This window comes from Homo sapiens, chromosome 12 (genome assembly GCF_000001405.40).
Source record: "Homo sapiens chromosome 12, GRCh38.p14 Primary Assembly".
Lineage (NCBI taxonomy): Eukaryota > Metazoa > Chordata > Mammalia > Primates > Hominidae > Homo > Homo sapiens.
This window is the reverse complement of record NC_000012.12, coordinates 96,655,103-96,671,736: the sequence shown is the minus strand read 5'-3', so window position 1 is coordinate 96,671,736 and position 16,634 is coordinate 96,655,103. Positions and strand designations below refer to the sequence as shown.

The following is a 16,634-nucleotide window of genomic DNA, read 5'->3' as shown; positions in this document are numbered from 1 at the left end:
TTGGCCAGGCTGGTCTCAAACTTCTGACCTCAAGCAATCCACTCGCCTTGGCCTCCCAAAGTGCTGGGATTACAGGCGTAAGCCACCACGCCTGGCCTCTATTCAATGACTTTCTATAGGTACAGCTCACCACTGCTGCATGCACCACTCAAAATACTCCCTCCCCACCATTTCTAAGGTCACAAAGTCATTCATTCAGCAAAGAGATACTAAGTTCCTACTATATATCAGACACTGATGAAGACAACTGGGTTATATCTGTGAACAAAACAATAATCCCTGCCCTCATAAAGCTTACGTTTTATCAGGAGGAACAGATTAGTTATCAATAAACACACAAAAAAAACCCCTAAATTATACCATATAATAGATGGTGAGAAGTGCTTCAGAAAAAAAGAAAACATATGGCAGAGTAAAGGGAATTGGGAGGAAGCAGGCAGGGTTCAGTTTTAAACTGAATGCTCAGGCTGGGAGCAGTGGCTCATGCCTGTAATCCCAGCACTTTGGGAGGCCAAGGCGAGTGGATCACTTGAGGTCAGGTGTTCGAGACCAGCCTGGCCAACATGGTGAAACCCCATCTCTACTAAAATATAAAAATTAGCCAGGCGTGGTGGCAGGTGCCTGTAATCCCAGCTACTCAGGAGGATGAGGCAGGAGAATCGCTTGAACCCAGGAGATGGAGGTTACAGTGAGCTGGGATAGCACTACTACACTCCAGCCTGGAGCAAGACTTCATCTAAATAAATAAATAAAAAAATAAATACTGAATGCTCAGGGTAAGCCTCATTGAAAAGATGAGAGGTACATAACAACATAAAGAAGATGATGAGCTCATTAGTCAGACATCTGAATTGAGAAAGAGCATTTCAGGAAGAGAAAACAGCTAGAACAAGGCCCTATGCTGGCGGTGTCACAGCAAAAAGGCCGGTGACAATGACCACCTAAACTGCCAAACACAACAGTCCGTCCTCATCTTATGTGACTTCTCTCTCTCTATGATAGTTGACTGCTTCCTTTTCCTTAGCACTGTCTCTTGCCTTGGCCTTGTTTATACTACTCTCCTGTTACATTTCCCAGCTCTTAGGCCTCATCCCAATCTCTTTCAAGTCCTGCTCTTCCTCTGTTTGTTCCCATGACAGTCATTAGGGCCTTCACACACTCTGTACCTCTTTATCTTGAGTACAGCATAGGAACATACTTGTCTACCCCTTTTGAAGTTAGGTGTGGCCATGTGACTGTGGTCAATGAAATGTCAACAGACATGACCTGTGTCACTTTCAAGTCACAGCTTTAAGAGCTAGAGCAAGATTTACAACATCTTTTTCCTGCCTGAAAAATAGAGACAATAACAAACCTACCTCATTAGGTGACTGTAAGCTAATATTCACAAAGCATTCATAAGAGTCCCTGATGTGCAATGCATAATTATAATTCTTTTATTGGGGTTGTTATAGTAATTAAACATGATAATCCATGAAAAGCCCTTAACATAAAGCATACGGTATATGTACATATGGTCTAGCAAAGGCTGTGCCCATAGCCCATGACTCTACAGGGGTTCACCACATGCCTCTCTGTATACACTCCTAGAAGATAACATTAAAATTATGTTTTCTGACTTGGAAACAACCCACGGAAGCTTGCACCAAGCTGGAGATTCCACCATGATGAGCAGCCCAGGATTCAACCTCACTGAACACAGTAGCATGCACAGGAAACAGACTTTCCATTGTGTTAAAGCAATGACACTTGTTTGTTACTGCTGTATAGCTGAAGCCTATTTTGACTGACGCAGCTTCCTAAATGTTGGTGCTATCCAGGACGCCATCCTCAAGTTTATGCTCCATGTAACTCTCCCTGGGTGACCTCATCCAAACCCTTGACTTCAACCACCACCAATACATTGATGACTAAAATACAAATCTCCAATCTGCTCTCTCCTGAGTGCCGCATTAGTATATCCAACCATACACTGGATAGCTCTACTCATTGTCATCCAAGTTTGGATGAACTAAATCCAAGCAAGTAATTCCAAAGCGACCTTTTCCTCTAACCTGCCCCTCTCCAGTTTTCCTGTCTGGGTGAAGGCATCATCATCCATCTGGCTACCCAAGCCAGAAACCAAGGCGACTTGAACTCCTCCCTTCCTCACCCATCCGCCACCTCCAGCCAGTGTGGATCACAGTCCTGTGGACATCCTCTGTCTCTCCTTCACATCTGTCCCCTCCTCTATGCTGACCACCCAAGTCCAGGCTTTCATCATCTCTACTTTAAGACACAAGAAAGCAGTGGCCACTCTCCTACTTCCATTTGGTCTCCTTTCAATCTGTTTCCCACGCAGCTGACAAAGGTTTTCAAAAACACGCAAATATAACACTTCTCGGCCTTTGGGCTAAGATCAAGTGAAAAGAATGCCAATGTGATCATTTCACTTTCTTTCTTTAAATCCTTTTAACTAGCTCCCCTCAGTTCTCCAGATAAAACTAGATCTCTATCCTTCCCTCTAAGAGAGTTTATTATCTAATTTCTGCCAACCTTTCTAACCTCAGCTTTTGCCTTTTCCTTTGCTGTTAGCCCCACTGGATTTCTTGCAGTCTCACAAAAGCAGGTGCTAGCTGTTAACTATTATTGTTTATGGCAGCAGCAGTAGTAATAACATTACATATCTTATCACTCTATACTATAATCTCTGGGTTTTTTATTCATCTCCTTTAATGGACCCTAAACTCCTGGGCAACAAATCTTTAGTCTTATTCATCTTTATATCCTCAGTACCTAGTACAGGCACTTCACACATAGCAGATACTCAGTAAATGTTTGCTGAATGACTAGCTGACTGGCTCCATAAATAAATGAATGAATGCTTACATTTATACGCATATACAAACATAAAATGAATAGATGAATAAGTGAAAGAATCCTAACACTTCAAAGGGAAGACTTACATGGCTTTTTGATACCAGAAACAGAGACACATGAAAAATGCAATTTAGAGAAAGTATTATTTCCATTTTCATCTCATTCTATTGCATCATTCCTACAAGCTGCATGGCCAAAAACATTCCAAAAGGGCTTAATACAATTTGGCTATGTCCCCACCCAAATCTCATCTTGAATTGTAGCTCCCATAATCCCCATGTGTCATGGGAAGAACCCAGTGGAAGGTAATTGAATCATGGGGGTTGGTTTTTCCCCTGCTGTTCTCATGATAATGAATAAGTCTCATGAGATCTGATGGTTTTATAAATGGGAGTTCCCCTGCACACACTCTCTTGCCTGCCACCATATAAGATGTGCCTTTGCTCCTCCTTCTCCTTCCACCATGATTGTGAGGCCTCGTGGAACTGAGTCTGCTAAACTTCTTTTTCTTTATAAATTATCCAGTCTTGGGTAAGTCTTTATTAGCAGCATGAGAATGGCCTAATACAGTAAACTGGTACCAGGTAGTGGGGTGCTGCTATAAAGATACCTGAAAATGTGAAATCAACTATGGAACTGGGTAACAGGCAGAGGTTGGAACAGTTTGGAGGGCTCGGAAGAAGACAGGAAATTGTGGGAAACTTTGGAACTTCCTAGAGATTTACAGGGCTCAGAAGAAATGAAGATGTGGGAAAGTCTGGAACTTCCTAGAGACTTGTTGAATGGCTTTGACCAAAATGTTGATAGTGATATGGACAACAAAGTCCAGGCTGAGGTGGTCTCAGATGGAGATGAGGAACTTGTTGGAAACTGGAGTAAAGGTCACTCTTGCTATGCAAAGAGACTGGCAGCATTTTGCCCCTGCCCTAGAGATCTGTGGAACTTTGAACTTGAGAGATGATTTAGTGTATCTGGCAGAAGAAATTTCTAAGGAGTAAAGTGTTCAAGAGGTGACAGAGCATAAACATTGGGAAAATCTACAGCCTGACAATGCAGTACAAAAGAAAAACCCATTTTCTGAGGAGAAATTCAAGCAGGCTACAGAAATTTGCATAAGTAACAAGGATCCAAATGTTACTCACCAAGGCAATGGGGAAAATGTCTCCACATCATGTTAGAGACCTTCGCAGCAGCCCCTCCCATCACAGACCCAAAGGCCTACCAGAGAAAAAGGATTTCCTGGGTCAGGTCAAGGGCCCCACTGCTGTGTGCAGCCTAGGGATTTGGTGCCCTTCATCCCAGCTGCTCCAGCCATAGCTAGAAGGGGTTAAGGTACAGCTCGGGCCATGGCTTCAGAGGGTGCAAGCCCCAAGCTTTGGAAGTTTCCACATGGTGTTGAGTCTGCAGGTGCACAGAAGTCAAGAACTGAGATTTGGGACATCCACCTAGATTTCAGAGGATATATGGAAACACCTGAATGTCCAGGCAGAAGTTTCCTGCAGGGGTGGGTCCCTCATGGAGAACCTCTGTCAGGGTAGTCAGAAGGGAAATGTGGGGTTGGAGCCCCCACACAGAGTCTCCACTGGGGTACTGCCTAGTGGAGCTGTGAGAAGACGGCCACCATCCTCCAGACCTCAAAATGATAGATCCGGTGACAGCTTGCACTGTGTGCACAGAAAAGCCACAGACACTCAACACCAGCCTGTGAAAGCAGCCGGGAGGGAGGCCATACCCTGCAAACCCACAAGGCTGTAGGAGCCCACCTCTTGCATCAGCATGGCCTGGATGTAAGACATGGAGTCAAGGGTAATCATTTTGGAACTTTAAGGTTTAATGACTGCCTTATTGGATTTTGGATTTACTTGTTTTGGCCAATTTCTCCATTTGGAATGGGTGTATTTGTCCAATGCCTGTACCCCCACTGTATCTAGGAAGTAACTAACTTGCTTTTGATTTTACAGGCTCATAGGCTGAAGGACTTGCCTTGCCTCAGATGAGACTTTGGACTGTGGACTTTTGAGTTAATTCTGAAATAAGTTAAAACTTTGGGGGACTGTTGGGAAGGCATGATTGGTTTTGAAATGTGAGGACATGAGATTTGGGAGGGGTCAGGGGCAGAATGATATGGTTTGGCTGTATCCCCACCCAAATCTCATCTTGAATTGTAGCTTCCATAATCCCCACATGTGGTGGGAGGGACCCAGTGGGAGGTAACTGAATCATCGGGGTGGATTTTCCCATGTTGTTCTCATGATAGTGAATAAGTCTCACGATATCTGATGGTTTATAAAGGGCAGTTCCCCTGCACATGCTCTCCAGCTTGCCGCCATGTAAGATGTGCCTTTGCTCCTCCTTTGCCTTCTTCCGTGATTGTGTGGCCTCTCCAGCCATCTGGAACTGTGAATTCATTAAACCTCTTTTTGTTTATAAATTATCCAGTCCCAGGTATGTCTTTATGAGCAGCATGAGAACTGACTAATCCAGGGCTTATCAGTTAAAAGCAAAGAAGTCATGACATTCCCAAATCTTCTCCTGTGCTCTAGTTAAAAGGTCTACAACTTAACCATAGTAAAACTAATAGAATAATCTATATTGATTATGGAAATGGAAGCTATTATGGGACTTGAAACAGAATAAGGAAAATAGCAAAAGGCCAAATACCAAAAGCATTCATAAATAAGATAAAAAGAAGAAAAAAATGTGCAAAACAACCTTTTTCCATCTTTGTTTTTGCCTATCAATATCTCTTTTCCTTTTATTTCTCTTATCTAACTTACAGATTGAACTTTTTAAAAATGCATTTTACAAAAAGAATAAAATATTTAGGAATACAGCTAAATATGGAAGTGAAAGGTCTCTAAAAGAACCACAAACCACTGCTCAAAGAAATCAGAGATGACACAAACAAATGGAAAAACATTCCATGTTCATGGATAGGAAGAATCAATATCATTAAAACAGTCATATTGCCCAAAGCAATTTAGAGATTCACTGCTATTCCTATTGAACTACCATTGAGATTCTTCACAGAATAAGAAAAACCTATTTGAAAACTCATGTGGAACCAAAAAAGAGCCTGAATAGCCAAGATAATACTAAGCAAAAAGGACAAAGCTGGAGGCATCACACTACCTGACTTCAAAACTATGCTACAGGGCTACAGTAACCAAAACAGCATGGTGCTGGTACAAAAGAGACACGTACACCAGTGGAACAGAATAGAGAGCTGAGAAATAAGACTGCACATCTAAAACTATCTAATCTTCAACAAACTTGACAAAACAAGCAATAGGAAAAAAATTCCCTATTCAATAAATGGTGCTGGGATAACTGGCTGGACATATATAGAAGATTGAAACTAAACCCCTTCCTTACACTATATACATAAACTAACTCAAGATGGATTAAAGACTTAATTGCAAAACCCAAAACTATAGAAGCCCTGGAAGACAACCTAGGCAATACCATTCAGGACATAGGCACAGGCAAAGATTTCACGATGAAGATGTCAAAAGCAATTGCAACAAAAGCAAAAATTGACAAATGGGATCTAATTAAACTAAACAGCTTTTGCACAGCAAAAGAAACTATCAACATTGTAAACAGACATATCTCCCTATGGTGGGAGACAATTTTTCCAAACTATGCATCCAACAAAGGTCTAATATCCAGCATCTATAAGGAACTTAAGCAAATTTACAAGAAAAAAACAACCCCATTAAACAGTGGGCAAAAGACATGAACAGAGAGTTCTCAAAAAAAAAAACATACATGTGGCCAACAATCATATGAAAAAAAGCTCAGTATCACTGATCATTGGAGAAATGCAAATCAAAACAACAATGAGATACCATCTCACACCAGTCAGAATGTCTGCTAGTAAAAAGTAAAAAAACAACAGATGCTGGCAAGGTTGTGGAGAAAAACGAACGCTTATACATTGTTAGTGGGAGTGTAAATTAGTTCAACCATTGTGGAAAACAGTGATGCAATTCCTGAAAGACCTAAAGACAGAAATACCATTTGACCTAGCAATCCCATTATGGGATATACATATATATATCTATATATATATATATATATATATATATATATATATAGATATAGATATAGATATATATAGATATATATATATATAGATATATATATATAGATATATATAGATATATATATATATATAGATATATACCCAAAGGAATATAAATTGTTCTATTATAAAGACACACACACACACACACACACACACACACACACATACGTTCTTGGTAAGGCACAGCTGGAAGAACATTAGACAAATTATGTAGAGCAATTAGCAAAGAAGTGGAATGAACCTAAATGCCCATCGATGATAGACTGGATAAAGAAAATGTGAGACATATACACCATGGAATACTATGCAGTCATAAAAAAGAATTAGATCATGTCCTTGGCAGGAACATGGATGGAGCTGCAGGTCATTATCCTTAGGAAATGAATGCAGGAATAGAAAACCAAATACCACATGTCCTCACTTATAAGTAGGAGCTAAATAATAAGAACACATGGACACATAGAAGAGAATAACACACACTCTGGCCTATCAGAGGGTGAAGAGGATGGAGAGGATCAGGAAAAATCACTAATGGGTCCTAGGCTTAACAGCTGGGTGATAAAATAATCTGTAAAACAAGCCCCCATGACACAAGTTTACCTATGTAACAAACCTGCACATGGACCCCTGCACTTAAAAGTTTAAAATAAAAATAAATAAAATGTGTTTTAATCCCCCTTAAGTAACATTTATAGCAACGTAAGATGGCGAAAATCAAATGCATTATTTTTAGTCAACTAAACCTGCAAAATACATTTTTACAAACATACTAATTATGGAAGGTTTGACATGCAGAACACAATGGCAAACCTCGATTTAGAGAAAACAAACATTCAAGCTAAGATTGGTTCTGACCTGAAGAGATAAGCATTTTTAGCAAATCTGTGCAGTTGCTTGTTGCTTCAATGGTTGAAGAATTAATCTTAAGCTGCTTCCCAATGAAATTTCGGCAAGTTATCTTTAAAAAGAAAGGTGAAAACAAATATTAGTCGGGTATTTATAGTTAAAAATTTCGCTTACTTGAAATGTTTCTCTCATTTTTTATTTATCAGAATAAAGAGATACATAACAATGCTACAAAAAAAGCTGGCAGAATAGTGTCTAATCATGAGAACTTTCATGAAAAAAAGCAGCTCCATAATTTTTCATATTTCTTTTGTACAGCACAGCTGGAAGAACGTTAGGCAAATTATGTAGAGCAATTAGAATATGATTTCCTAATATTCTATAAATTCACTGGTCTAAATATATCTTCCATTATATAAGTTAAAAAATAATCTGCTTTCCCAATGCAGATTTTTCCACCCTACTTATAATTAATGCAATTTTATTTTCCCTGGTGAAGTTTTTCAGAACTAACTTCCTCTGTAGTATTTTGATAATTTATTTTCTAACAGATATGAGTCCTAAGATAATAAAATATCTGAAAACAGAAAAGTTTTAAAAAGACAAAAATTATTTTAAAGGGCCCAAGACCCTCTTCTCTTCATTTCTTCACTCCCATCCCTTGAACTAACCTATCACTCAAAATACAGTCCTCCTGGAACCCCAGTCTGATATAGATGCTTCTTCTTTATTGTCCCTTGTGAGTAGTACTTTTATAATGAGAAGTAAATGCAGCCTAATAAAATACAAATTTCTTCCCACAACCTCATAAGGCCCTACTTGATCTAGTCTTTTCTATTTCTCCAGCTTCCTTAAACGGATCTTTACTGAACACCTATTACGTGCCAAACACTGTTACAAGAAGAAGGGATGATGTAGCAGAGAACAAAATAAAAACTCTCACTCTTGTGAAACATCTTAGTGGGAGAAGACAGATAATAAACAAATAGTATGGTACATTATATAATATATTAAAGAATTGCAAATGCTCTAGAGAGACATAGAGCAAAAAGGCACATAGTTGTAAATATGATAGTGTGGAATAGCCTCACAGAGAATGTAAAATTTAGCAAAGATTGGGAAAAGGTGAGGGATCCAATGTGGATGTTTGGGGAGCAGCACTCCAAGCAGGGGCAACAGCAAATACAAAGACCCTGAGGCAGGAACAGCTCACACAACAGTGCGGTGAAAACCTGCCTGGGAGTAATAGGACAGGAGTTACTGGAGAGATCAGGGGGATATGTTATATAGGATAAGTTATATTAAGGTCATGATAAAGATGTTCACTTTACTCTGAATAGGGTGGGAAGCCACCATAGGGTTTTAAACAGAGGTGTGACAGAACCTGACTTGGGGTTTAAAAGGTGATTGTATCTGCTGCATTAAGAATAGATTACAGGCTGGGTGTGGTGGTTCACACCTGTAATCCCAGCACTCTGGGAGGCCAAGGCAGGTGGATCACCTGAGGTCAGGAGTTCAAGACCAACCTGGTCAACATGGTGAAACCCCATCTCTACTAAAAATACAAAAATCAGCCAGGTGTGGTGGCTCACACCTGTAATCCCAGGTACTCAGGAAGCTGAGGCATGAAAATCGCTTCAACCTAGGAGGCAGAGGTTGCAGCGAGGCAAGATTGCTCCACTGCACTCCAGCCTGGGTGACAGACTAAGACTCCATCTCAAAACAACAACAACAAAAAGAATATATTATAGGCTGAAAGTGGGGTTCAGGGTGATTAGGAAGTCACTGCATTAACCCAAGCAAATACAACAAGGGTTTGGATAATAAACAAATAGTGAGGTGCATTCTATAGTAATTAAAGAGGGAGTGTTGGAGGTAGCGAGCAGTGCTCCAATTTGGATTGTATTTTGAGGGTAGAGCTCTTGGTAACCAGTTGGAAGTGGGGTGTGAGAGCAAGAGAGGAGGCAGGGATGTCTCCAAGGTGTCTGGCAGCCAGGACAGGAGGCTTGTCATTGACTGAAGAAGACTTAGCAGAACAGGCTTGTTTGAGATGTGCTAAATTTAGAAATTGTATTCTTCATCTAAGAAATGATGATGATTGGGCAGTGTGATGATTTTTTAATGGATCAACTTGGTTAGGGCTAAACTATGAGGAGGAAAGAGAGGGAAGCATCTACTTTCTGGCATACACACAATTCACCCCCGTTAGTCAATCAAACTAGGTGCTACTGTGAAGGGATTTTGCAGATACTAATTAAATTGACTTTAAACAAGGGAGATTACTCTCAGTGGACCTGACCTAAGCAGATGAGTCTAACATGCCCGCAGTCTCCAGGACTTCAAACACCAGCAGCAGCTGCTTCTACAACTGTCCTCTACTGGCTGGATCTTCCCTCACTGACTGCCTATGAGTAACAACCTCTGTCCATCTGGGGTTCCTTCCTGCTCATGATCCTGACTGCCTGCCCTATGGATTTGAAGCTTGCTTAGCTGGCCTCCACAATCATATAAGCCAAATTCTTGTAGTAAATCCTCTGATGGATAGCCAGCTAGCTAGCTAGCTAGACAGATGTGATACTGTAAAATATATATTTGGTCTTGTCCCTGTTTCTTGACATACAACTCCTAAAATCCTTGGAATCTCCAAAGTGGTATCTTTTTGTATGCTAATAAGTTGATTGACGGCTGGCAACCCCTAGGTAGCTTCAGGATAGGGGCTGCTCACCAGAAAGACCACGGCAGGATAAGAACTTTCAGCCCTATTCCCCAACCTCTGCAAAGAAGAGAGGGGTGAAAGGTTAAGCTGATTGTCAATGGCCAATGATTTAATCAATTATGCTTCCATAATGAAACCTCCATTAAACAAAAAAACCCCAAAGGACTGGGTTTAGGGAGCTTCTGAACATGTGGAGGTTCCCGGAGGCTGGTGGATCCATGAAAGCTCTGTGCCCCTTCCCCTCTGCCTCACCCTATGTATCTCTTCATCTGTATCTTTTGTGATTTTCCTTATAATAAACTGGCGAATGTAAGCAAGTGTTTCTCTGAGTTCTGTGAGCCACTCTAGCAAATTAATCGAACCCAAGGAGTGGGTCATAAGAACCCTAATTTGTCACCTGTCAGTCAGAAGCACAGGTCACAACCTGGGGCTTGAGATCAACACTGGAAGTCAGAACAGAGCCCCCAACCTCTGGGGTCTGATGCTATCTCCACGTAGATTGTATAGAAATTGCATTGAAAGACACCTAGCTGGTGTCCACTGCAGAACTGATTTCTTGCTTAGTGGTGGGGAGAAATCCCCAAACATCTGGTGTCAGAATCATGTAAGAGCATAGTGGGAGACATTGAGTTTATTTTTTCCCCTCCAGAGATAAGATAGACTTGTCTTACTAGTTTTGCTCTTCTGGTTGAACTTTGGCTGATATAGGCAGTTAGATATATCAACACAAAATTCAGGAGAAAGATCTAGAATGCAGATGTAATTACAAAATTCATCATGATAGAGATGGTACTTAGAGACATAGATTGAATTAACTCACTATGGAAGAGTATGTGGATGGAGAAGAAAAGGGGTCCAAGAACATAGTCTTGGGGTACACTCACATTGGGACACTGGGGAGAAGAAGAAGCAACAAAAAATCCTCGGAAGGAGCAGCCTCCTCTTTCTCCCATGCCCCTTGTTTGCTACACTTCAGCCATACAGGCCTTCTTTCTGTCCCACTGCAGGGCATGGGCCATTCTTTTTCTCTTGGGCTACAATGTTCTTTCCCTAGATCACTGTATGGCTGGCCCCTCTCATCAAATGCCATCATCTCCAAGAAGTCTTCTAGATCACCCTTACTAAAGTTACCACCTCTCACCCAGTTCATCTCTAGTCCGTTGACTTATTTTCTTCAGAGACCTTATAATGATTATAAGTCTTTCTACTCATCTGTTTACATGTTTATTTTCTGGCCCTATTTCCAACCCTCTGAAATTAAACTTTATGAAACAGGAACTCAGAACTGTATTCTCACCATACAGAATATGCAGGAGGCAAGGTTACCACTGGGCCATAAGGAAACTTTGTGAGAAGAAGAAAATTGAGTCCTTGCTGGCTGGATGCAACACCTCAAGCACATAGGCTGGTGTGGCAAGGAGGGGCTGGATTTCAGGCCCCACGTATGCCAGGGGCCCTTGGGCAGGTCACCCACAGTACAACTGTATGCAATGGGTCTGATTGGGTAGTCAATGCACTTTGTTAAATTAGTCAATGGAAAAATGTACTTATCTCTTTTCTCTGCCTGATTCAAGATATACCATGACTTTCAAGGGCCCCTGGGTACTTTTGCCTTCATGAGTCTATTTCTCCATTGAAAAATACTAAAAATGATATTTTATAATTGCGTTGGTATAAATACAAGAATATGAAAGTAGAAATTCAAACATTTTATTTGCCCTGAAAGTTATTTTTTTCTTCTTATTTTAAAAGAAATTAAAACATTTAGTGGGCCCCTGAAAGTATTGTCAGCTCTAGATTACAGTGGTTCACACCTGTAATCCCAGCACTTTGGGAGGCTGAGGTGGGAGGATCACTTGAGGTCAGCAGTTTGAGACCAGCCTGGCCAACATGGTGAAACCCTGTCTCTACTAAAAATACAAAAATTAGCCGGGCGTGTTGGCAGTCACCTGTAATCCCAGCTACTCGGAAGGCTGAGGCAGGAGAATCACTTGAACCCAGGAGGTGTTGAGATCAACATTGGAAATTGGGGCAGAACCCCCCCACCTCTGGGATCTGATGCTATCTCCAGGTACATTGTGTAGAAACTGAATTGAAAGACACGCAGGAACCTGGGAGGCGGAGGCTGCAGTGAGCCGAGACCGTGCCATTGCACTCCAGCCTGGGCAACAAGAGTGAAACTCTGTTTCAAAAAAAGAAAGACACTCAGCTGGTGTCCACTGCAGAACTGATTTCCTGCTTAGTGGTGGGGAGAAATTCCCACACATCTGGTGTCAGAATCATGTTGTGAGGGCACAGTGGGAGACACTGAATTTATTTCTTCCCCTCCAAAGATAAAATAGCCCTGTCTTTACGAGTTTTGCTCCCCTGATTGAATCCTGGCTGATACAGGCAGTTAGATATATCAACACAAAATTTAGGAAAAAGATCTACAGTGGAGATGTAATTTTAAAAGTCATCATCATAGAGATGTACTTAGAGCCACAGACTGAATTAACACACTAAGGAAGAGGCGGAGGTTGCAGTGAGCTGAGATTATACCACTGCACTCCAGCCTGGGTGACAGAGTGAGACTTCATCTAAAACAAAAACAAAAACAAAAAAAAAAAGTACTCTGGGCTCTAGACACCATCCCCATTGTGCTTTATGGCTAAGTTAGTCTTGGCCTGATATGAACTTCTTGTGGACAGGGACTTAGTTCCTGTTTGCCTTGACTGCAGGCTCTCAATAATGTTTGTTGATTTGAATGATAAATGCCAGTAAGTGGAAATACTAAAGCAGAAATAATAAGATTTATCTGACTTCTAAATCTTTGTATTTTATATGTGGACTAATTAGAAATCACAACAGCATGAATAATAGAACTAACTTAAACTTACCTTCTCTCCATATTCAGCCTCATACCTTGCACAAGGTTGTTGGGTAATATCTGGGCCCTTGAACTTCTGTATTCTCAGCAGAAGCTGGCGCTGTGCATACACCAGAAGTGGTGTCACTTGTTCTGTATACCTCTCACTAGACAGGGGTAAAGAATACATTAAAAAGAAAACATTAGTTAAAAGACTTTTTTTTTTTTCAATGAAGTCTTCTACTTTTAATTGCCCTTACAGCAGTACTTACTGTGAAACTGTATTGAACTGAATGGCAAGAGATACTAGTGTTTCCCATTTTTCCACTTGATATAAAACTTCCAGAGATTTTAATACAAAGTCGTGGATCCATTTCAAATCAACCACATTTACATCATCCAAAGGATGCTCAAAGGTAAGACTAGAACCACCGTTGTCATTTTTAATATTCCCATAACAGCTTGGAACACTGAATTCTCCTTTGTCTTCAATAGGCTGCAAGTAGCACAGTGAAAAAAAAAATGTGTAATTTCAGATTTTACTGCATATTTTTTCTGAAAACTGAATGTAATAAAAATGTAACATGGAAAAGAACTCAACTGAAAAGAAAAAATATTTTTCTTATGCAAGTCAAAGCTTGATAATTTGATGCAGTATTATCCAGTAAAGCTTGCTGTGATGATGGAAACGTGCTATATATTTGTGCTGTTCATTATCGTTCCCTATAGCCACTAGAAACCTGCAGCTACCAAGCTTTTGAAATGTGATTAGTGCAACTGAATTTTTAATTTCGTTTAATTTTAATTCATTCAAGTTTAAATTTAAATAGCCACATATGGCTAATGTTTACCATATTGGACAACACAGATTACTGTCTATCGTTCTTGGTATACAGTCACTATCCATTTAAGTAAGGATATGAAATAAATTATGGTAAGATTTTTAGGAAGAAACTGGACTTTAGTATAAACACATAATGAAGTTCCCTAATACGTTGGTTACATTCGTTAATTTATACAATAATATGTCCATTCCTAGATGCAAATGTCACACCTATGGAGAAGGAAAGCATCAAGGAGACCCTCTTTTTGCCTAAAGAGTTACTATGTACCAATAGTGTGCATGTCCTATGAGTTCCTGACACATTTGTGTATACCTCTGGAAATTCTTAAGGCAAAACAAAGCCTCTTAGATCCATATAAGGGCCAGATTATAGCCCAAAACAGTTGGGTAACTCAAGTCCAGCCTTCCCATCCCAATAATACCACTAAAAGTAACCTATATACATGGGTGTGAAGTATCAACAAAAGTAGAGGATAAACATCCCCTCTAACAAGAGCTGTAGTCCTTGAAGTTAGAAGAGACTTTGGAAGTCATCGGACTGTGAAATGCAGTATGCACACCTGAAGTCAGGCTGTGTAGGTAAGAATAGCAGGTGTAGCACCAGTGACTTACATGAATTTGCATCCTCAGCACAGTGCCCAGCACATGGGACATACTTTTAAAAAGTAGTTGACATTTTATTTATGTTATGAGCTCAATCACTGTAATTCACTGATTCTACAGTAAGTCTTCTAGAAGCACAGATGTGCTATCAGTTAGTCATGCCTATGCCTTATTTCTGGGATGAAGGACAGGGAAGTCCTCTGTAGTTATTACATTATCTAATATAGTGTTTATCAACAATGAAGCTGAGGGCCAGGCATGGTGGCTCATGCCTGTAATCCCAGCATTTCGGGAGGCCGAGGAGGGCAGATCAACTGAGGTCGGGAGTTTGAGACCAGCCTGACCAACATGGAGAAACCCTGTCTCTACTAAAAATACAAAATTAGCTGGGTGTGGTGGCGCATGCCTGTAATCTCAGCTACTCAGGAGGCTGAGGCAGGAGAATGAATCGCTTGAACCCAGGAGGTGGAGGTTGTGGTGAGTCGAGATTGTGCCATTGTACTCCAGCCTGGGCAACAAGAGCAAAACTCCATCTCAAAAAAAAAACCAACAAAGCTGATATTTTATCTCAATTGCCTTGTTCAGCACCCATCTCTCAGTTGATCCCAATCCAAAAGGGGAGGGGGGGGGAGAGAATTGTCTATTGATCTCCTAAATTTGGCAACATTGAGAAATAAACAACACTGAGAAATGAACAAGACTGACATTTGGAGATCAAAATAGCATATGGAGATTGAGGTTTCTGGCACAGCCAAGGCCAGACTCTTTTAAGTTTTGAAGATTTTGTATGGGCCATGTGTGATTTTTTAAAAACTTTTTATTAAAGAAAAGTTCTAACACTTACAAAAGTAGGGAAAATAATATAATGAAGCCCATGTACCCACCACCAGCTGCAATAATTATCAACTCTTAGGACATACTCACTTCCCCCATTATTTTGAATTATATCCCCAAAATTATATTAATTAATCTATGAATATTTTAGTATTTATCTCTAAAAAGTAAAAATTAGTTATACAAAAACATAACTACAATACTATAATCCTACCTAAAAAAAAGAAATTAGCAGAAATTCCTTTAAATCATTATTGAATAATTATACTGAAGAGTGTTTACATTTCCCTTATTGCCTTACAGATTTTTTTAACTGTATGTGTTAGTTAGATTAAAATAAGGTCCAAACATTGTAATTGGTTATGTCTCTTGTCTTTTTTAATTTATAGATTTCATCTCCTCCTTTATTAAATTTTTTGTTAAAAAAAATCAGATTGTTTTCCTGTAGAGTTCCCATAATCTGAATTATACTGAGGATATTCCTGTAATTTCATTTAAAATGTTCTTCTGTCCACTGTATTTTCTACAAATTGTGGGATAAATGTAAGTATTCTAACTGATTCCAGTTAGATTTCTGTTTTTTGGCAAGTGTACTCCATAAGGTGCTCTTGATCCTCCAATTCATTCATTAAGAATTACAGAAACCTAGTAATTCTAATTCCAACATCCTTTCTTCATTTATTACCTGGATACTTTTGTAAAGAAAAATTCCTCTTCATCAACTATTTGGTCATCCTCAAATATAGTTCACATAGGAGGTAAGGTAGTCAAGCTTTTTTTTTTTTCCAAAGAAGCCCTGTTTCCTTTAGTGATAAATGTATTTAAATGCAACAATCTAGGTCCTAGAGTTGACATTTCTTTTTGAAACCTCTGAACTGCTTTGAATCCTTTGGTGGAAAAAAAAAACCATATATATGGGTCTATTTTCAGATTCTATTTGTTCCATTGATATATTTCTCTCTTTAGGTCAGTATCATACTCTCCTAATTACCAT

General features: G+C 39.8%; 1 protein-coding gene across 2 annotated transcripts in view, besides 1 other annotated feature; it reads right to left on the bottom strand.

Moving 5' to 3' along the window:
- CFAP54 (cilia and flagella associated protein 54) overlaps positions 1–16,634 on the bottom strand; it is a 385,979-nt gene that overhangs the window by 203,819 nt on the left and 165,526 nt on the right. For both annotated transcript variants that reach the window (NM_001367885.1, NM_001306084.2), the window contains exons 37-39: positions 13,632–13,855; positions 13,391–13,526; positions 7,805–7,907 (exon numbers count right to left, since the gene is read on the bottom strand). In NM_001367885.1, the coding sequence (NP_001354814.1) occupies positions 7,805–7,907; positions 13,391–13,526; positions 13,632–13,855 (463 nt within the window). The remainder of the gene's footprint in view (positions 1–7,804; positions 7,908–13,390; positions 13,527–13,631; positions 13,856–16,634) is intronic.
- Positions 1,059–1,259: a silencer, noted in NCBI's record as "peak1903 fragment used in MPRA reporter construct". NCBI's record gives its function as "represses an SCP1 promoter by STARR-seq MPRAs in K562 erythroleukemia cells {active_cell/tissue: K562}" and the evidence as "EXISTENCE:reporter gene assay evidence [ECO:0000049][PMID:32103011]".